The sequence below is a fragment of the Homo sapiens genome, chromosome 4 (genome assembly GCF_000001405.40).
Source record: "Homo sapiens chromosome 4, GRCh38.p14 Primary Assembly".
Classification (NCBI taxonomy): domain Eukaryota; kingdom Metazoa; phylum Chordata; class Mammalia; order Primates; family Hominidae; genus Homo; species Homo sapiens.
Genome location: NC_000004.12, coordinates 15,725,079 through 15,747,349, shown reverse-complemented (window position 1 = coordinate 15,747,349; position 22,271 = coordinate 15,725,079). Strand labels below are relative to the sequence as shown.

The 22,271-nt window shown below is 42.2% G+C and overlaps 1 protein-coding gene and 2 pseudogenes across 7 annotated transcripts in view; 1 reads left to right on the top strand and 2 right to left on the bottom strand.

The window, feature by feature from the left end:
• The window catches only part of BST1 (bone marrow stromal cell antigen 1), a 71,109-nt gene that overhangs the window by 26,824 nt on the left and 22,014 nt on the right, over nucleotides 1-22,271 (bottom strand). For 2 of the 7 annotated variants that reach the window (NM_004334.3, XM_011513881.3), the window contains exon 9: nucleotides 14,563-15,610. The exons of 2 other annotated variants lie outside the window; for them this stretch is intronic. In NM_004334.3, the coding sequence (NP_004325.2) occupies nucleotides 15,505-15,610 (106 nt within the window). In that variant the 3' untranslated portion in view covers nucleotides 14,563-15,504. Of the gene's footprint in view, nucleotides 1-7,851; nucleotides 9,564-9,590; nucleotides 9,643-11,218; nucleotides 11,298-14,562; nucleotides 15,611-22,271 lie in introns of those variants that run through there. 3 more of the 7 variants (XM_017008565.3, XM_005248186.3, XM_011513879.3) reach the window with 3 other exon arrangements.
• On the bottom strand, nucleotides 3,768-4,118 carry PFDN1P2 (PFDN1 pseudogene 2; annotated as a pseudogene).
• RPL10AP7 (ribosomal protein L10a pseudogene 7) lies at nucleotides 15,689-16,420 on the top strand (annotated as a pseudogene).

The following is a 22,271-nucleotide window of genomic DNA, read 5'->3' as shown; positions in this document are numbered from 1 at the left end:
ACTATAATGGCATAAAGGCAGCATGGCAAACAGGGGCCTGACAGGCACGAATCTGAGACTGTGGTTAATATATCCCATGGTTCCTAAGAGCTCTTAGATGTGCAGTTGATAAGGATATTGCTTGACCTTTACAATCAAAAGTGATCAGGAGCAAGAGAGCCAAATGTTGATGATGTCAGCTACCACAATGGACGATCACAGTCTGATACCCAGTTCCCAGACTGGTGTCTGGAACCTCAGGCCCAGATTTAATCACTTAAGGGAGAGGAAGTCCTGTAAGCCACAGCAAGCATATAACATAGTGATTCTCCCAACCCTTCCCCAAAGGGACCCATACCCATTTGTTGGAGTTCCTGTGCATTTGGAGGAATGGAATACTCAGATCTTCTGATGGCTTGATCACAGAGTCTGAGCTGTCACTGCTACAAGACCCAAAACACAATCATGGGCCCCCTCAGTTAAATAAGGACTTACTGAGGCTAGATGACAAATGGACTCCAGAACTAAGTTTATCAGCACCCATGCTGTGATCATGTCCCTAGCCCCCTCTCACATTTGTTTTTTGACCTGTGGAGTAAGAGCCTTTATAGTAGGAAAGATGAAGTAAACACCCCTGAAGGTGACCACCATTCCAGAGCAATACCACATCCTAGGTTCCTATGGTTTGAATGTTCCCTCCAAACTTATGATGAGATTCAATTGTCACAGTAACCATATTAAGGGGTGGGGCCTTTAAGAGGCAGAGCCTTCATGAAGGGATTAATGGTGTTATCACAGGAGTGGGTTGGTTATTGCAGGAGTCCTGGTAAAAATGATGAGTTTGGCACACTTCTCTCCCTGCCTCATGCACATGTTTCTTCACTTTGCTATGCCTTCTGCCATGGAATGGCCCCACCAGATACTAGTGCGATGCTCTTGAACTTCCCAGTCTCCAGAACTGTGAGAAATGTTTCTTGTCTTTACAAATTACCCAGTCTATGGTATTATGTTATAGGAGCAGGAAATAAACTAAGACACAAGTGTAATGCAAGGGCTTGGAACCACCCTTAGAGACTCAAAAAGAAAGAACAGTGTGGTGATTTCATCATATCCTCCTTTAATTCATCAATCTAACCCCTGGAAAAAACCAAACACTAAATGGACTATGTCAGATAATTTAGCCAAGTGGTAGCCCCAGTTTGCAGTTGCAGTACCAGATGGTGGTATTTTATGACAGCAAATTGTCACAGCCTTTGAGTCTAGGTATACTGCAAACACCTTATTTTCAATCTCCTTTGGGAAGAAGAATAAAATGCAGTTCATTCACCTTGACTATGCAGGTAACTCACCATCTTGCCCAAGGGCTATGTTAGCTCTACTCTCCTCTATCCCTATGTAGTCTAAAAGAACCTTAACCTTTGTCTAAGCATTCTATATGACATCAGTCTGGCCCCTTATATTGATAATATCATGTTAACTAAAATTAGTAATCATAAGGTGGTAAGTCTTCGAGATGCCTTATTAAAACACATGCAGGCCAGAGGGTGGGAGATAAACCCTACAAAGATTTGGGACTGAGATTATAGTGAGCCAGTGGTCTGGGGACATTCCAGAGTATCCCCTACAAAATAAAGGATATGTTATTTCATCTTCCACCTCCTACCACTATGAAAGAAGTACAGCCCATGGAAGGTTTCTCTGGATTTTGAAGGCAGCACAAGCCACATTTAGGAATATGGTTCTGATCCGTTAGTCATGTAACTCAGAAGGCTCTTGATTTTGAATGACCTCAAGAACAAGAGAGGGCTCTGCAGACAGTCCAGAGCCTGGATCTTGACATTTCAGTCATATTACCTGGAAGAAACCATGATTTTAAAGGCAGGGCCAACTACATAATTTTGGGGGCAATGCAAAATGAAAACGTGAAACACTTTGTTCAAAAAGCAGAAAAAAAGTACAGCTAAGTTAAATATACTGAAACAATACATTTTCCTTTAAAAATATTATATTACTGACAAAATGTAATCAGAGTAATAGTTATCATGAATTACAACATAAACCTACAAATTGCAAGAAAATATTGGTGTCATAATTTTATATTTGTATGTAATTCAATGTATAATATGTAATTTTATATGATACAGTAAACAGTAATACTTTCTTAATGTGACACCTTGATTTATTATGAGATTTCTCTAATTCATTCTTCCATAAATGTATTAGGTATCAGAATTTATGCTTTTTGCAACTTCTTTATTGATCAATATAATTGAATGTGATATAAAACACTTTTATTACCTGCAAAGTTGCAGATAATTTTAATAATTTTAAATTTTGGAAGAATTTTCTGCTAATAAAACTGTTACTGAAATGCTAAACATGTTTTATAGCATTGGAATAAATCTGAAAAAATATTTCATTATATAAATTTTAGCATGTCTAGAAGTGATGACTTACAGAAAACATTTTCCAAAAAATTTAACTCTTCATATCAGTTCTGTATAAGTCTGAATTTTTATTTGAGCTTTGAACATTCATTATCCTTGTTTCTAACACGATTTTCAAATTTAGATAATTTTTGTAATGGCTGTTTTTAACAAGTGGCTTGCAACAAAATTCATGAAAATTGAACAATCAGCCCTCCTGAGTGGGTATAGGCCAGCTCCAGCACTCCTCTGCCCCTAAGCCTCACGATTACAGTGTCCATCTTATGATATTGGCCAAAGGGAGAAAGTCTTGGAAGTGCTGCTTATTGTTGAACTTTCTTTTGGAATGTGATATGGTTTGTCTGTGTCTCCACCCAAAATCTCATCTTAAATTGTAATCCCCATAATCCCATGTGTCAAGGAAGAGACACCAGGTGGAGGTGATTGGATTATGGGGGCGGTTTCCCCCATGCTGTTCTCCTGATGGTGAGTGAGTTCTCACAAGATCTGATGGTTTTATAAGTGTTTGGTAGTTCCTCCTGTGTCATTCCCTTTCCTGCCACCTTGTGAAGAAGGTGCCTTGCTTCCCCTTTGCCTTCCACCGTGATTTGTAAGTTTCCTGAGGCCTCCCCAACCACGTGGGACCCTGAGTCAATTAAACCTCTTTCCTTTAAAAATTACCCAGTCTCGAGCTGCTCTTTATAGCAGTGTGCCAATGGACTAATACAGAAGGTATGGGAGAAAGCAGGGAAAGGAATCTGTAGGCAGACTGCCATAAAGGAACCACTATTCTTTTCACTTAAATTCAGCTTTCGGTGTAAGTCTTCTTTCTTCCTCATCTGTATACTACACAGAGGCCCAGAAGGTGAAGGGATTAGTCAAATGTCCAGAAAAGGAAAAGATAAGAGGACAAGATCCCATCCCCCAAGGAAAGAAAGACTCTAATGCAGAGGGAGCAGGAGCTGTGATGGAGATAGCCACTGCCTCTCTCACCCTCCATTCCCATCCCTTGGCTCAAGAAAGGCAGATGTAGCAGAGTGGGACAGATGCTGTTTACTGGTCTGACCAGCGTCCCTAATGGAAGGCTCAGACAGAGCCTCCTATCAGTCCTGGCTCCCATCTTCCCTTTCCTGGGAGCTCATGACTCACACCAACAGAAAAGAGTGTCCTGAGCAGGGGAGGCAAAGCCAGGGTAAAAATCTCAGAGTTGGGATACAAGAGGGGCTCAACATGTGAGATTGCTAGGCCATCCAGATAAAACATCCATTAGGGCAGAAGACAGACTGTTTCCCTGCACAGACCACTCTGCCCTTGCCAGAAATAGGAGGGGCAGGAGGAAGAGCTTCCCGCAGAGGCTCCCAGCTGGGCCCTTTGTGCCATCAGCATCTCCCAGATGTTGCCCTCAGCTTCCTTAACATTCTGCTCTAGGTAGGATTTTTTTCTGTTTTAGTTCTTTAATTTTTTTTTCTTCTGCTATTTTCTGACTTTCTAACAGTTTATTGTGAACTGCCTCCTTGGATTGAAGAATAAACATTCTTCATCTTCATACATATATCCTACAGCTTCATACAGATTAGTCTCATCCACCGAAGTCATGATCTCTGCATCTGTAAGATGTGCATGCTTTTTTGTTCTGTTTAGCTGTTTGGTCGGTATGTCTGTAAGCTTCACCTTCTGTTGAGTGTCAAAAACTTTGTCTTGAAGCTCTGTGAAGATCCATGGGGGTTACCATCTTGGTGTCTGAATTTTATTTTAAATGTAAAATTATGCAAGGGAATTTTGATGTTTCCTCTGACATTGTAATTTGTGGAAGTTGGTGCAACAAACTGAAAGTGGGTTCATGATTTTCACATACTTCAAAAAGGTCTGTTTATGCATCCTTTCACTGTACCTTAAAGTATAAGGAAAAATTAATTTCAAAACTGTCCTCCTTGTAAATAAGTGGCTCATCTGAAACTTCATATTAATTTGTTTTCTTTCCATCCCATCTCTGCTGCAGCTGGTGCCAGTTGCCATCTCAGGGCAGGCCCAATGTCCTCCTGGGAGCAGTCCTGAACCCATGACTGACAAGTAGATAAATATCTCAACCTCCTTCTGTCTCAGATACAATCAGTTCGAGGTGCATTCTGCACTGTATGCCTTAGTTCCCCAGCAGGCTTCAACCCCAGTTTCCTTCAGTGATAACAGCCTGATAACACTGTATTGGCTTCCTGCCATCCCTAACTCAATTCCCACTTCTTCATCAGTGTTTCCTGTACCTTCAGGTAGTTTATTACCTCCCAAATGAACTCCCTGGACTTATCCTCTGTCACAGGTCTGCTTCTAAAGAAATTCAAAGTCAGTCAACAACTTTGTCTTTGTCTATTTAGTGTTGCTGTAACAGAATACCTGAGCCTGAGCAGTTTATAAAGAAAAGAGGTTTATTTGGCTTAAAATTCTGGTGGCTGGAAAGTTCAAGATTAGGCATCTGTATCTGGTGAGGGCCTCAGGCTGCTTCGACTCATGGTGGAAGTGGAAGGGGAGCCAAAGTATGCAAAGAGATCACATGGCAGTAGGGGAAGCCAAGGAGGGAGGGAGACAGGTGCCAGGCTCTTTTTAACAGCCAGCTCTCAAGGGAACTAAGACAGTGAGAACTCACACACCCATCCCCAAGGGAGCACAGTAATTAATTCATGAGGGGTTGACCCCCATGACCCAAACACCTCCCAGTAGACCCCACCTCTGAACATTGCCACATTGAGGATCAAATCTCAGCATGAAGTTTGGAGGGACAAACATTCAAACCATAGCAAACTTAATCTGGCTTAAATAATAAAGAGGATTCCTTGATGAGCAAGAGAAGAGACCACCTTCTTCTCCATCTCAAACCCTGAAAAACTGCTTCTGGGCTTGTCACAGCTTTGGCAGCAGAGCTGAGCATGTTAAAATAAAATGGAGTTTTATTTGTTTGTACTGTATGTTGGTGAAGGAGGCAGCAGCAACAGAGACCGGGGCGTTATGCACCAACCATATTATGCATCTGGAGATTCCCAGAGCAGCAACTGGGACAGGGACTACTGAATCCCTCAGACTTTAGGCCATAAGCCAATGAACATTTACTGTAAAAGGTGAGATAATACTTTTCGCTTTGCGGGCCATGCAACCTCTGTTGCCACTGCTCAACTCTGCAATAGCTCAGAAGCGGAATAGATAAGCACAAACTAATGAGCATGGCTGAGTTCCAGTAAAACTTTATACACTAAAATTTGAGCTTCATGTAGTTTTCAGACGCCATGAAATAATGTTCTTCTTTTGATTTTTTTCAACCATTTAAAAATGGAAAACCCACGTGTGTCTTTGGGGTTGTACAAAAGCCAGAATGGGCCCCTGCTATGGGCCATTGACACATGCTCTCAATAAGGCTGTGAATTAGAGGTTTCCCTGCACACAATGTTGTAAGCCCCTTGGAGGTTTGGAGATTCCAGCATCTATGACTGATTTTTCATGAAGGTTATTGAGGATGTGAACAGAATGTTTCAGTACTTTCCCCATCCATCTGCCTCAGCTTTCCTCTTCCTACCCTTCCTCCCTTATCAGGAAGCACTTCTATAATAATAGGATTGCTAGGAGCACAGAATTCTCGGGCCATGTTTTACTCCTGGACAAGGTTACTCTACTCCAAGTATGGTGTCCTCCCTGGCCTGTCCACTCTAGCTGTAGACAGGGATGGCCCCTAGAGGGAAGCCTGCCAATCCAGCTGTTACATAATGACAGCTGATCTCCAATCTGTGATTCTACTTGTCTGTAGCAGCCCCGTTTGACAACTTTGTTGGAGGAGGAGTGAGTAACGGCCAAATTCAATCTTTTGTCGCTAGATATAATACCAAAAAAACTGTCACTGCTCTTCCCAAGACTCCTAATCAATATCATCAGTAAATATTGGCTGAGTAAATATATGCAACCTCTGTCACAACTACTCAACTCTGCGGTTCATGACGGATAATGAACCCTGTGGACCCCTCACGAACCACGGAGTTGAGTAGTTGCGACAGAGGTTGCATGGCCAGCAAAGCTAAAAGTATTACTTCACCTTTTACAGAAAATGTTCATTGGCCTATGGCCTAAAATCTGAGGGATTCAGTAGTCCCCGTCCCAGTTGCTGCACTGGGAATCTCCAGACGGATAGTTTGGCTTGTAAATAATGCTCCAGCCTCTGTTGCTGCTCCTTCTTCACCAACATATAAGAAATAAAATTACATTTTATTTTAATATCCTCAGCTCTGCTGTCAAATATTTGTTATAATTTAACAAATTAATAAATTTGTTAAATAAGGTGCAAATGCTGAAGACAAACTCAGTAGTTGAGAACATAAACCTTTGTATAGATTAGTCTCCCTACCTGAAAATATTTCCAATCCACCCCCTCACACCTTCACCTCTCATCTGGCTAATAGCTCTCGTTTTTTCAGGTTCAACTTAAGGAAGACTTTCTCTGGAAAGCCTCCTCTCCCGATACTAGACTATGTTAGGTTTCCCCCAGTGCACAATCCCAAAGGACTCTGTTTCATCTTCATCCCACAAATGAAAGTAGATAATAACTACTAATTTAGGCCCGACATGGTGGCTCATGCCTATAATCCTAGCACTTTGGGAACCCAAGGCGGGCAGATCACTGTGGTTAGAAGTTTGAGACCAGCCTGGTCAACATGGCAAAACCCCGTCTCTAGCAAAAAGAATACAAAAAATTAGCCAGGCATAGTGGCGTGTGCCTGTAGTCCCAGCTGCTAGGGAGGCCGAGGCATGAGAATCACTTGAACCTGGGAGGCAGACGTTGCAGTGAGACGAGACGGTGCCACTGCACTCCAGCCTCGGTGACAGAACGAGATTCAGTCCCCCCTGCCCCCAACTAATTTAGTTATCAGCCAGTGAGGATCAGGAGATACACTCTCTCCCTGTCTCTCTCTATCCTTATCTCTCTCTCTCTCCCTTCTTCCCTCTCTTTCTCTGTCTCTCTCTGTTTCTCTGTCTGTCTGTCTCTCTCTCTGTCAATGTCTCCCTCTCCTTTTCTCTCTCTCACCGACTTCCCTCCCTCCCTTTCTCCTTCCCCCTCCTACCACCAAATTTTATTACTAGCAGCAATGGTGAACAATGACTTCACTCTGATTATATTTCTGTACACATCTTTTTACCCTACAAAATTTAATCGAGTTTAATGTGTTCCCCTGAGAGCTTGTCACTGTATGTTAACTATTTTAAAATTTTACAAGCACCATCTTAGAGTTACTGTGTCACATGTCCTATAGCAAAGTCATGAAGGTGCAGCTGGCACAAGTCAAATGAAAACCCTTCTACTTTTGTGCAGGGGAGAAATACACACACACACACACACACACACACACACACACACACACGGTTTGGCTTCTTAACATGCATTTTTCTCAAATAAGTAAGTCATTTCAGTGAAGAGTTTGGGTAATTCTGACAGCTACCCTTTAATAGCTACATGATAAAAGAAGTTCCAAAGAACCAAATCACGTAACAAAGAATACATGTGCTTTAGAGAACCTGCTGCATTCTACATCTTTTAGGGGGAAAAACAAAACTATATTCCTAAAATTCTAAGCGGAGTGATTTAATACATATACGTTTCATATTGAAACATGTTTTAAAGAGACTACCAAGAAAACACAAATACATAAGACTTCAAGTAATGAGTAATTATGGTGAAATTAGCATAGTTCAGATTTTCCAACCTGCTTCATTGGTTATGCATGTGGGTGTTTGAAACCCTTGCCAGGTCTTTAAAAACAAGCTCCCAGTCTCAGCAATAGCTGTGCCCTGTTCTCCAGCATGGGCTTTCAATTTGCCCTTCTCTTTGGTGCCAAAAGTCTCCTGAGAAGAGTAAGGCTGAGTTCTGGGTTTCAAATGCCTGTGAATTAAGTTCTAGCAACTGCAGAGTCTCCAATGATGATTCATTGTCCTGAGTTCCACTTTCTCACCCTGGGAAACTTCAGAAAGACTGAAATGGAAATGAGCATTAGGAGCTAGGTCCGCTTGCCTGGGCTGTCTCTCAGGTTAGTGGAACTGGGATTACTTCTCAATCAGCCATGTTCATTTGGCACCTTTGGCAAACCTCAATTTTCACAGCAGGAGAAATAAAAAAAGCTAGTGTTCACTTGGCACATGCCTGCTTCTAGTCTTTACTTTGGAAATTTTCATTGTTGTGTTAGCTTACCAGGGTGGCCATAACGAACTATGAATTTGAGGGAACACAGTTCCGTCTGTAACAATCGTGTGGAAGCTGAACTTCAAACAGGTAAGCTATCAGCTGGCTAACGTGTGGTCATTCCCACTTCCCATCAAGGTTTTTTATTTTTATTTTTATTTTTTTATCAAACTCTCTTGCCTTCCAACATATATTTTTAAATCAAACAATATTTAGGAATGTTTTTAGGATCTTTTTCTCCTTTTATACTGACCAACATCATAGACTCCTCACCCTGTTTAACATCTTTGTATTCTCCGGTCTTTGTGAATGTCCCTCTGCTACCTTACTAGACACACCAGACTGACCGACTCTCTTATCAAAGAATGACTTATAGACGTCATTATTCTTTTTCCCAAGTGTCTGAAATTCCTTTTCAAATTAGGCTTTCATTTTTTTGAATAGGCTTTAATGTTTAGAGCAGTTTTAGGTTCACAGCAAATTTGAGCAGAAAGTACAGAGCTTCCCACATACGCTCTGTCCCCACACATACATAGCCTCCCCCACTGGCAGCATCCCCACCAGAGTGGTGGAGTGGTGCATTTGTCACAACTAATGAACCGACATTGAAACATCATGGTCACCCAGCCTCTGTAGTTTACCTGAGGGTTCACCCTTGGTGTTGTACCTTCTGTAGGTTTGGACACATATATAATCACCTGTATCCACAATTCTAGTATCATGCAGAGTATTTTCACCACCCTAAATATTTGGGAGTCCATTTTATCCTGTTTCCTCTGAAGCTTGTGGAGAGCATTCATGTGGACGGAGCTGGACTAGGCAGGCATGCAATTGACTCAACTCTTGCCAGAGCCTCTGGAGATTTCGGCTTCCTTGCTGTGGGAGTGGAAGGCATTTACATCTTTGGACTCTCTGACAGTCAGTATCTTCCCCATCATGGTTCCCACAGTTTCCTGTTCAGGTTCAGAAAGTACCTTGTTACCAAGTCTATCGTGCTAGAGGGAATACAGCCAAGTGTAAGGTACCTGGTACCTACGACAGGAGAGGAAAGAGAACTCAGTTCTTCATGTGCCCACCCAGTCCTTGTGCTCAGGGGTCTTCCATGTGCATTTCTCTTTTGGTCAAATGCTTAGCATTGTTCATTCACTTGGTAGAAGAGCATTAAGTACCCATTAAGTGTGCCAGGCATGGAGCTGGTGCTGGGACCTGTTTGTTGAAGACACACGAGGCTGGTTTTCTTAGCTGCTTTTGCCAGGGCTCCCTGCTGCCCCCTTGCTGCCCAGACCATGGAGGAACCGAGGCCAAGAGAGGTGACCTTGGCCAAGTAAGAAAAGCTTTCTATGTCTATGTTTTCTCATCTGTAAAATAGGATAATAAGAGAATTGATCCTATGGGGTCGAGTGAGGATTGAAAGGGGCCATTTATGAAAATACTTCACACAGTGCCCAGTGCACAGTAACTTCTGATCTGCAGAGAGTGCTGTATTGCAGATGGTGTTTAGACAGCTATCAAACAACTCTAGTAGTAGTAACAATAACACTAGCAAATAACACTTATACAGGGCTGATCTACTATACTCCTGGCACTGTTCTGGGTTCTTTATGCACATTCGCTCATTGAATTATGAGTACTTATAATCCCTACTTACACACACGGTGATGCAGCTCAGGTAAGGTAAGTGAGTTGCCCAAGGCTACACAGCGAGCAAGTGCTGAAGGTAGGATGTGGGCCAACCTGTTAGGTGCCAGAGTCCATGCTCTTGGCCACAATGTTAGGCTGCCTCCCCATTTCCTTTGTCTTGATTCCCCAAACCCAAGGTTCTCACCCAATCTGATCAAATGCTGACTAGGTCATGGCTGGTCAGGGTAAAGCATTATGACAGACACAAAGACAAAGAGGTAAAGTTGCTGTCCTCAAGAGAGAGAGACATAAAAACAAATGGATCTGGAACTAAGTAAGGCTTCGAGGAGGAGGTGAGCAAAGGTACCAGATCCAAAGGCTTATGTTGAGAATACGGAACTGAGAGAAGGTTCATGGAGAGTGCAGTGGGGTCTCCTGGGACACAGACCTAGTAAGGCAGTTTAGGGGCAAATGGAAAGATCTTGAATCGCAGATTTTTTTTTTTTTTTGGAGACAGAGTCTCACTCTATCACCCAGGCTGGAGTGCAGTGGAGCAATCTAGGCTCACTGCAACCTCTGTGTCCTTGGTTCAAGCAGTTCTCCTGCCTCAACCTTCAGAGTACCTGGGATTACAGGCACGTGCCACCACGCCCAGCTAATTTTTGTATTTTTAGTACATACAGGGTTTCACCATGTTGTCCAGGGCTCCTGACCTCAAGTGATCTGCCCACCTTGGCCTCACAAAGTGCTGGAATTATAGGCAGGAGCCACTGCGCCCGGCTTCTTGAAGAGCAGATTTTAAAATTTGAAATTTGTCTTGCCAAGGGTAGGAAACCATTGCTGATTTTGAGCAAGAGGACGATGCACTCAGGACCCTAGCGTAGGACATTGCTCTGGCAGCATTGTGGAAGTTAGGCTGAAGGAGAAACCAAGCAGAAGCAGAGAGATCAGTCAGGAGGCAATGATATGTTTGAAACCCATGATTTACCTTGTACAAAGGCTAGAACCGGCGGTTGTATGGTTCTGCTCTGGGTCGCACTCCTAATGTCCCACATAGCCTCTTGGGTCTATAAATATAAATATGTGCATAAAAACACATAGAAAAATGTCTGCTACTCTGCGTGCAGTATGACAGATGAGATTTGCCTTCTTCCTAATTTTTCTGTATTGTGTAGATTTTTTTCAAGTAAAGAGCCATTATTACTCTTATATTCGGGAAAAAAGTGAAGTTATGTTTAGTTTTTAAAAATAAAGCCTTATTTTTCTTATGGAACTCAAAATGGCATTTCTCTAATTGAGTCGCAGGTCACTGTGCTGTGAGTGGCTAAGTCGCCTGGTAACCCAGGCAACATGAAGGCAGCAGACACTGTGTTTTCCAAGCTTGGTCTAAGAGACGCCCCTTGGCTGGGGCTCCCATGGGATTGGCCTAAGGAGCCAGACGGTCCTGAGACAAACCATGAATTATGAATTGGAAGTTGGTTGGTTGGGTCCTTTTCTCTTTCTCTAAGTACCCAAAAGTCTTATGCTGCTTGTCATCTTCCCTCACGGCTCCCCTCACACACCCTAGCAATATCACACACTTCAAGTGTTTTATGAAAGTATGCCATAAATACAGAAAAGCATGCCACACCTTGTTATTAAGCTTCCCTTGTACCCTCCCTGGCCTCCTCCAACAAAAGAAAGCTAAAGAATCCCCCACCCTCTGTTTTCCTCTATTAAACTTAGTTCATTCACACGTGGAAGGTCTACTTCATCCAAGCAGGGCTAGGCTAGGGCTGCAAAGATGAGTGAGTCTGCAAAGAAGCCACAGTCCCAGGGTGAAGTTAGGCAAGGACCCAAACAATGCTGACACCATGAAGATGGGCCCTGTTAGGGAATTCTTTGCTTTTTTGCAGGGAGAGAGGTCAACAGAAGGATCCAGGGAGGAGGTGATGCTTAAGGTATGTCTTAGAGTCTGCCAGATGGGAGACAGGGCAGGAAGGAAAATCAACACAGAGAGACCAACATGTTCAAAGACCCTGAGGAGGGAGAGAGTAGAGAGCACGTCTGGGTAGAGCACCAAGCAACTTGGTTAGAGGAGCCCAGCTGAGCACACCTTCTGTAAGAAGCTAATACCGCTTTTACAATACACACCAGTGTCTACACCAAATGAACATTCTACCATGCCAGGTTTTCATGGATTTCATTCCTCTGCAGTCTCACTTCCCAAAGTCTCTTTCCTTAACCCTTCTGAGCGTGGCCTGGTTCCCGCTCCTGCCTGCTCCCTGTGGCAGTGTCCGACTGAAACCAGCCCAGCTGTCCCAGAGAAGTGATGTCTACTGTTTTTTGGATAAACATGAAAATTGACCCTCTCATCTAAGATTGAAACTTACATTTGTCTTATCTGAATTCCTTCTTCAGGAAACTGACCCTTAGGCAACCAGTTAGTATCAAGGAACCGAAACTCACCAGACCACCACATCCACACAATTAGATGCCAGACCCTTCATCCATCATGACTCCTGTTTAGCAGCTTCTCTTCCTTACCCCTCCCCCATTCCTGTTTTCTCACATATAGTTACATTTCCTTCCTGCTATGTAAACCCCTAAGTTTAGTCGACTGGTGGAGGAGACAATTTTGAGAATGATTTCCCGTATATATATTATATTTTAATATATTAAATTTGTATCATACTTTAGACATTTTCATCATATAATTAAGTTTTATATTTTATCTCTTACACATTTTCCTATGTGATTAAATGTTCTTTGAAAACATTTCTTTTTGGTTTACATAAAATAAAATTTACTCTTTTTCATGTACAGGGCCATGAGTGTTGACGAACACTTGGATTCATGCAATCACCACCACAATCAAGACACAGAGCAGCTCCATCGCTCCCAAAATTTTTCTCAGTGTCACTTTGCAGTCAGCGCCTCCTTCTAGTCCTGATCATTCTCAACCCCCACAATCACTGGTCTGCTCTCCGCTACTATAGTTCTGCCTTCTCGAGGATGTCATATAAATAGAATCATACAGTTGGTGGCCTTTTGGTGCGGCAGCTCTCACATTTGGGTTTCATCCATATTGCTGCATATATCAAGGTAGTTACCTTTATTGCTGAGTAGTATTCCATGGTGTAGATTTACCAGTTAGTTTATTCCTTCACCATCTGAAGGACATGTGAATTGGTAAACATGGCTTTTACTTGTTGAATGATACTCCATTCTACAAATATTCTAAAACCCATGTAAATAGTTCTGATATGGTTTGGCTCTGTATCCCCACCTAAATTTCATATTGAATTGTGATCCCCAGTGTTGAAGGTGGGGTCTGGTGGGAGGTGATTGGATCACGGAGGTGGTTTCGGATGGTTTAGCACCATCACCTAGTGCTGTCTCATGACAGAGTTCTCACGAGATCTGGTGGTTTGAAAGCATGTAGCACCTCCCCCTTCACTCCCTTCCTCCTTCTCTGGCCATGTAAGACATGACTGCTTCCCTTTTGCCTTCCATGATGATCGTAAGTTTCCTGAGGCCTCCCCAGCCATGCTTCCTGTAAGCCTGTGGAACAGAGAGGTGAAGCCAGCTGGACTTCCTAGGTCGAGAGGGGACTTGGAGAGCTTTTCTGTCTAGCTAAAGGATTGTAAATGCACCGATCAGCACTCTGTGTCTAGCTAAAGGATTGTAAATGCACCAGTCAGCACTCTGTAAAAACACACCAGTCAGCACTCTGTGTCCAGCTAAAGGATTGTAAACGCACCAATCAGCACTCTGTGTCTAGCTAAAGGATTGTAAATGCACCAGTCAGCACTCTGTAAAAACACACCAGTCAGCACTCTGTGTCCGGCTAAAGGATAGTAAACACACCAATCAGCACTCTGTGTCTAGCTAAAGGATTGTAAATGCATCAATCAGCACTCTGTAAAATGGACCAATCAGCGCTCTGTAAAATGGACCAATCAGCAGGATGTGGGTGGGACCAAATAAGGGAATAAAAGCTGGCCACCGAGCCAGCAGTGGCAACCAGCTTGGGTCCCCTTCCACATTGTGGAAGCTTTGTTTTTTCGCTCTTCACAATAAATCTTGCTGCTGCTCACTCTTTGGGTCCGCACTACCTTTAATAGCTGTAACACTTGCCGCGAAGGTCCGCAGCTTCATTCTTGAAGTCAGCGAGACCACGAACCCACCAGAAGGAAGAAACTCCAGACACATCTGAAGGAACAAACTCTGAACACACCATCTTTAAGAGCTGTAACACTCACTGCAAAAGTCCATGGCTTCATTCTTGAAGTCAGCAAGACCAAAAACCCAGAGGTTGTCACAATTTTGTCACAATTCTGGACACAGAACTGTGAGTCAATTAAACCTCTTTTTTATTTTTATTTTTGTAAATTACCCAGTCTCGGGCAGTTCTTTATAGCAATGCAAGAACAAACTAATACAAGTTCCAAACAGTTTCAGTAAATATGTAAATATTACTGGATATTTTGGGTTTTTCCCTCATTATAAGTAACTATTATGGCTGGATGTGGTGGCTCACGCCTGTAATCCTAGCACTTTGGGAGGCTGAGGTGGGTGGATCACCTGAGGTCAGGAATTCGAGACTAGCCTGGCCAACATGGTGAAACCCCATCTCTACTAAAAATACAAAAATTAGCTGGACATGGTGGCAGGCACCTGCAATCCCAGCTACTTGGGAGGCTGAGGCAGGAGAATCGCTTGAATCCTGGAAGCAGAGGTTGCAGTGAGCTGAGATCTCCCCACCTCACTCCAGCCTGGGCAAAGGAGCGAAACTCTGTCTCTCAAAACAAAAAGGAACCATTAACTGAACATCTTTATACCAAATAAATGAAAAATGAAAACTTTGCAGACCATATATGCATACATTTATATAGTATACATATGTCTTAAGCAATCAACAAGCATGCAGTGTCCGTGCTGCTGGAGATATAGGAAAATATAGATGATGTAAAATACAGCTTTATTAGAATTCTCTTAAAATGTTTGATAATATACAAGCAGTCTGACTCCCAATGCTTTGTGTCATTATACAAATAAGAAAATAACTTGCTTTAATTCTAATGCAGCATTTTTTAACCTGCTAAATAGAACTAACTTCTTGTTTCTGAAATCCTGAACATATGCCTCATTGAAATACCATTTTCAGGACATCGTTTTCCCAGCAAAAAGCTTCTTTAGATAACAGAATCATTTGGTATACACAGAACACGAATGATGACTGCAAGGGGAGGCTGCAGGGCTGGAGGAGGGTTAGAGCAACACAGTTTCCAGTTACAGTTGAGTCCTGGAAGCCAGCACCAGAAAGAGGGGAATGATAAGACCCGCCCTTTGTTCTGTATAAAGACTTGGGGCTTTTCTTTGAGTAGCGGCTGCTGCCCTGCAAATTAACAAGGAAATAGAGAAAGTGTCAGTATTGGTGTATGGAATCTACGCTCAAAAATATATGTGCAGTATTAGTCTCTTTTCTGGTTAGCGCGGAGCGAGAAGCCATGAGCAGCAAAGTCTCCCGTGACACCCCGTAGGAGGCGGTGCGCGAAGTCCTGCACCGAAACCAGCGCAAGCACCCCAAGTTTCTGGAGATGGTGGAGTTGCAGATCAGCTTCAAGAACTATGACTCCCCAGAAGGACAAGCGCTTCTCGGGCACCGTCAGGCTTAAGTCCACTCCCTGCCCCAAGTTCTCCATGTGTGTCCTGGGTAACCAGCAGCACCGTGACAAGGCCAAGCCTGTGGATTTCCACCACATGGAAAACGAGGTACTGAAAAAACTCAACAAGAATAAGAAACTGGTCAAGAAACTGGCCAAGAGTATGATGCATTTTTGGCCTCAGAGTCTCTGATCAAGCAGATCCCACGAATCCTCGGCCCAGTCCTAAATAAGGCAGGAAATTGCCCCTCCCTGCTCACACACAAGGAAAACATGGTGGCCAAAGTGGATGAGATGAAGTCCGTAATCAATTTCCACATGAAGAAGGTGTTATGTCTGGCTGTGGCTGTTGGCCACGTGAAAAGGACAGACAATGAGCTTGTGTGTAACAGTCACCTGCCTGTCAACTTCTTGGTGACATTGCTCAAGAAAAACTGGCAGAAAAACTGGCAGAATGTCCGGGCCTTATATATCGAGAGCACCATAGGCAAGCCCCAGTGCCTATATTAAGGCACATTTGAATAAATTCTACTGCTACCAGTATAAAAAAAAAAAAAGCAAATTGTGCACACTGTGGAGAAATGTACATAGTATATAGGAAGTTATAAAGTGGAAAGTAAAAGTCTCTTAGTCTCCCCATTTGCACTTTCCATAGAAAACCAACTTTGATAGTTTGAGTTCTCTTTCCAGGAATGCAATGAACACATGCATGCTGAACCTGCTCAATATAACTAATTCCTATTTCTGCAATCCTGAGCACACACGTCATTGAAATACCATCTCAAGACATTCTTTCCTGAGCAAAAAGCTTCTCTAGACAACAGGACCTGCTGCTGCCCTGCAAATTATCCTTAGATGTCTTTAGATATCCTTTTATCTAAGCACAAATGGAATCTGCAACGTGCGTTCTTCACCTAACATCATATTTTGAACATGCTTCCATATTGGTACACAGGGAGTTAACTCATTCTTCCTTGTGGATGAATTCTTATTGTACGGATGGAACACAGTGTTAGCCAGGTTTCCTACTGATGGCTATTACATGATCAGAGTTTAAGTGGTGAAGAAAAACCTGTCCTGACATGAAGACATCAACAGAGGGCCTGCCCAAAATATGGACCCTATTCATAGTAAACAGTATCTGGCCACTGGGTTTGTAAAAACAGAAATTACTGAATTCTTTTAAACCAACTAAAAGATGAATTTTAAAATTATGAAACCATCTAATGTTGGCTTGGAAATATATCCCATGGCTCTGGACTAGTGGCCCTGTCCTTAAAAGTTCCTGACTCCATTTGAATGCTGGTCCTCTCTTTTTTGCTAAAGAAATCTGACCCACAGGTTTGTATTAGTGCTCCACCTACCGGACATTTTCTACAATTGCACCTGTGATGCAGTTAATGTCCCAGACTCGATTCACTCAAAATTTAAAATTACTTTTGCTTTCAAATAATTAACTAATTAACATAAGGTTACATTTTTCTTTACTTTTTTAAAAAATAAAATAACACATAATTAGATACACTAATAATGACAGCCTCCCTTCATCTTTTTCCAGTTTCTATTCCTTTGCCTAGAAGGAACCCACAGTTAGGTGCTTGGAGTTTACTTTCTCAGACCTATTTCTATCACTTACATCCATTATCATGCACAAATAGAAACATGCTGTTTTGCTTTCTTCTGGTTTACATGTCTCGGTTCATGTTCTGTGCATTGGTTTCTCACTTTGTAGCTTAAAAACCTTTTCTTGTCAATGTGAGACTATACTTGAGGGGGTAACTGCACTATTTGCAGTTACTTTGATTTTTAAAATTGATTCTTGTTATTACATTTATATACTCAAAAGCCTAATTTTCCCATGCCCTTTTATTTAATTTATAAATCACATTGTTCTATTTAAAAACCTGGTGAACTCTGACAATAACTCTTAAGGATTTGTCACACTTACTTAATTCCTGTGATGTTTTAAACTCAAGTTATTTCAGGTTAAGTTATTATTATTATTATTATTCTTTGAGACAGGGTCTCATTCTGTCACCCAGGCTGGAGTGCAGTGGCATGACTACAGCTCGTTGAAGCATTGACCTTCCCGGGTTTAGAGAATCCTCCTGCCTCAGACTCCTGAGTAGCTGGGACCATAGGTGCACACCAACATACCCAGCCAATTTTTTGTTTGTTTGCTTGTAGAGGCGGGGTCTCGCCATGTTGCCTAGGCTGGTCTTGAATGCCTGGGTTCAAGTGATCCTCCCGCACTGAACTCCCAAAGTGCTACGGTTACAGGCATGAGCCACTGGGCAAGGCTTCAGGTTATTTTCAACTTAAATATTAAAATATTACATCTTTTTTAAAAAATATTTTAAATGACTTTAAATTAGCAAAACTTTCTCAATTACTTGATTGTAGTAAACCTAATAAATGTATAAAATTTAATCTTAATTCTTTTACAAATTCCAATACTGGTTCAAAACTTAGTAAAATTCTCTTATAACTTCCTACTAAAAATCCCAAGCCTAAAATCAGTTACTTGGCTGAGCATGGTGGTTCACACCTATAATCCCAGCACTTTGGGAGGCCAAGGCAGAAGGATCACCTGAAGTCAGGAGTTTGAGACCAGCCTGGCCAACATGGTAAAACTTCATCTCCACTAAAAATACAAAAATCAGCCAGGCGTGGTAGCTCACACCTGTGGGCCCAGCTACTTGGCAGGCTGAGGCAGGAGAATCACTTGAGCCCAGGAGGTGGAGGCTGCAGTGATGAGCCAAGATCAAGCCACTGAACTCTAGCCTGGGTGACAGAGCAAGACTCCATCAAAAAAAAAAAAAAAAAAAGGAAGGAAGGAAGGGAAAAGAAAATTTTCCAGTAGTGCTGGCTTGCTCCTGTAGTCTCAGCCACTTGAAAGGATGAGGCAGGAGGATCACTTGAACCCAGGAGGTTGAGGTTACAATATGCCATGATCACACCACTGCACTCCATGCCTGGGTGACAGAGCGATAACCTGTCTCCAAAAAAAAAAAAAAAAAAAGAAAAAGAATTAGTTACTTAATAGTAACCCATATACTGGCATCACAGGTTTAATCCAACAGCTGTTCTTATATGCTACATTCTCTAAAATATTGCCAATAATTAAATACCAAAACATACAGATTGTCCCTAAATTTACCACAAAACTATTAATAAAATGGGTGGATTTACATCAACAGTTGTTTATTTCATTTGAAACCTTTGCAGATTAAAAGCCCTTTACCCCACTATTCCTAAACAAGTAGAGATGAGTAGTCCTGTCTCTGTGGCCTGGGGCATTTAGGATAGAGCCTTCCAGCTAAGTTAAAAGATCTGATGTTTGCCTTTGGCCCTTAGTGCCACACTGAGTCCTCATTCCAGTACTATATGTCTGTTTTCTCATATCATCACCAATCCTGCAGATTAAAAGTCTACTGAATTTTTGGCCAATATTATAACCTATAAGCGCTAAGGTTGGTTTTTTCCCCTTGGATTATTCATGGGGTCTTCTGCTTGCTGTATGATTATCCTACCATTGTCTTTAAGGGCTATATTCTACTCCCTCCAGTAAGTGTACCCTTTGATGTAACTGTTTACTTGTCAGTGGATATTTGAGTCCAGTTCCCAGTATTTCAGTATTATAAAGAATGCTCTGGAGAACATATTTGAGCATATAGGCTGTATGTGCATTTCAAATCACTTGTTTGGAATAGGGCACCAAAAGTACCCTAAAGTGTGACCTAGGTCAAAGACTGTGATATTTTTCTAATTCTTGACACATATTGTCAAATTGTTTTCCCAAAGCACTTTATCAATTTACAGTGACATCAAGCATTGAATAACATCTCTAAAACATTTTTCTGCTATGTTTTAATGTATGCCAAGAAAGTTTAGGTGAAAATGACACCTTGTTGAATTTGTTTTCCATTATTATTAGAGTGATTAAATAATTTTGTATATTTGCTATTTGTGGTTTCTCTTTTGTAAATTATCTATGACTATTCACAGCTAGAATGTTTAAAAAATAGATTAGAAAAATTCCTGCCAGGGTGATGAAAGTTGGTGAAAAACTTGGCAGAGTGAAAGAGAGTTTTATCCTTGACATTCAAAGGAATCAGCCAGAATTGTCAAAAATGTCTACCAACAGTCACTGAAAGAATGCCCACACACAGGGAAGAACAGGTCAGGAACTGCAAACCCCTTACTTACCTGCTGTGGTGTGAGACCCAGAGACATTTTAAGGCAGTGTGGTGTGGTAGGAAGAATGAGAACTTTACACACAGACAAATCTCCGTTTTGCTTCGGCCTCTGAGTAACATTAAATGATCACTTAATCCTTCTGAACCTCAGCATCATTGATGACAATCAAACTGTCTTCCTTCTAGGAATGTGGTTGGAGTAAAATGAGATGATGACTCCAGAGTGCCAGCTGGAAGCCTGACACTGCAAAGTGCTCAGAAATACTGAGGAAAACTCGGGAGGCTGAAGCAGGGGAATTGCTTGAACCCGGGAGGCGGAGGGTGCAGTGAGCCGAGATCACGCCACTGCACTCCAGCCTGGGCAACAGAGCGAGACTCCATCTCAAAAAAAAAAAAAAAAAAATACCGAGGAAAAGTGAGAAGAGCTACCCTCGTTCTCCTTATTCTTCCTGCAGCAGGGGAGCTAACCCAAGGCACTGGTGCTAGGATGGCACCATTTGCCCATTTCAGGAATGGTGGTGTAGGGTGCAGTGGGTTTTACAACAAGGAATTTTACATGGTCTGTTTCTGTATAGGTTGACAGTCTGATTAATGAGACAAAGAGTAAAACCATACAAACCTAAGTAATTCTAACACCACAGACACTTCCCTATCCAAGACTTATGAGGTTCCAGGCTCCTTAGAAAGTCTATACCACTAATCTTTGCAACAACTTTATTCCCCCTTTTCCACATAAGTGAGCCACACAAGGATTCTTTTTCTTGCAATCAAAATGTAGACCTTATGCATATGCAGCCTCTGGGCACTTCTCTGAAGGTGTTGTAGAGCATTTGTCATTCCTTCTGGCTGCCCAGCACCTTTGAACATCGTTCTTCTTAAATCTATGCCTTTCCAGGGTAGAATCCAACCATTCATTCGTTCATTCATCTATTCATCCATTCATTCATTCCTAAGTGTCTACCGAGTTGCAAGTTCTGTTTTAGGTCCTTAGAATACCATCATCAGTGAAAAAAACAGGTCAAAGTCCCTGACCTCCTGGAGCTCATGTTCTGACAGGTGGGAGGCGCTAAAGAATGAATTTGCCAGCATGGGCAATATAGTGAGACCTCATCTCTACAAAAAAAAAAAAAAAAAAACTTTAAAAGTTAGCTGGCGTAGTGGTAAGTGCCTGTATCCCCAGCTGTTTGGGAGGCTGAGGTGGGAGGATCACGTGAGCCCAGGAGGTCAAACCTGCAGTGAGCCGTGATTGTGCCACTGCACTACAGCCTGGGTGACAGAGAGAGGAGAGAGACCTCGTCTCAAAAAAAAAAAAAAAAAAAAAAAAAGACCGCACTTCACAAGTAGGTCAGTCAGAAGATAAACACTATAAAAAAGAAAAAAAATGCAGTCACATGAGGGTTTTGAAGAGCCACAGTTGTGAGATGGAGGCTATGATTTTAAATATTGAGATCAGGGATCAGGGTAACCTCATGGAGGCTTTGTAGATAAGAAAACTGACAATTTCAGATCATCTGACTAACTCAGTAAGAACAGAGTGCTTACTACTGCCAAAACGGTGTTTCCACAGGCTGATGAGCAGGAAAGCATATGATATCTTATGGGAAGTGGATCAAAACTAGCCTTGAAATAAACATTCCAGATGAGAAGCTGTGGGTGACGTGTCTGGAAAGAGTATGATGAACCTGGAAGATGGGACTAGAAGTCTGAACTTGGTAGTAGGTAACTTTGAAGGTTTTTGAGCAGCAGCGACATGAGGGTGGACTTCATTTTCAGGTGAGGAAAGGAAAGACCCAGGTTCACAGGCTATCCTTTACCTCCTGTGAAAGGACTCAGAAACGATGCATGCCAAATTCACAGGGAACGAATAGCATTAAAGAATGAGGAGAGGACTTAAATCCATCACCGAACCCTGGGATGTTGGCTCCTAGAATACATGCTGGAGATGATGGGTCTGTTGTCCTAATTTCCAGCCCAAAGAGCAAGACATCTGCCAGAGTGAATTTTGACAGTTCTCAGACTCCTTCAGATCCTGGTTCTGCCTGCACTAGCTGGGTGGTCTTGGGTGAGTCCTTCATAAACTTCTCTGAGCCAGAGTTTCTTTGCTTCTGAAGGGAGAATATGAACCTACCCACATTGGATCAAATAAAATCTGGCTTCTGTCTAAATGACAGTGGCTTAGAGAAGACAGATGTTT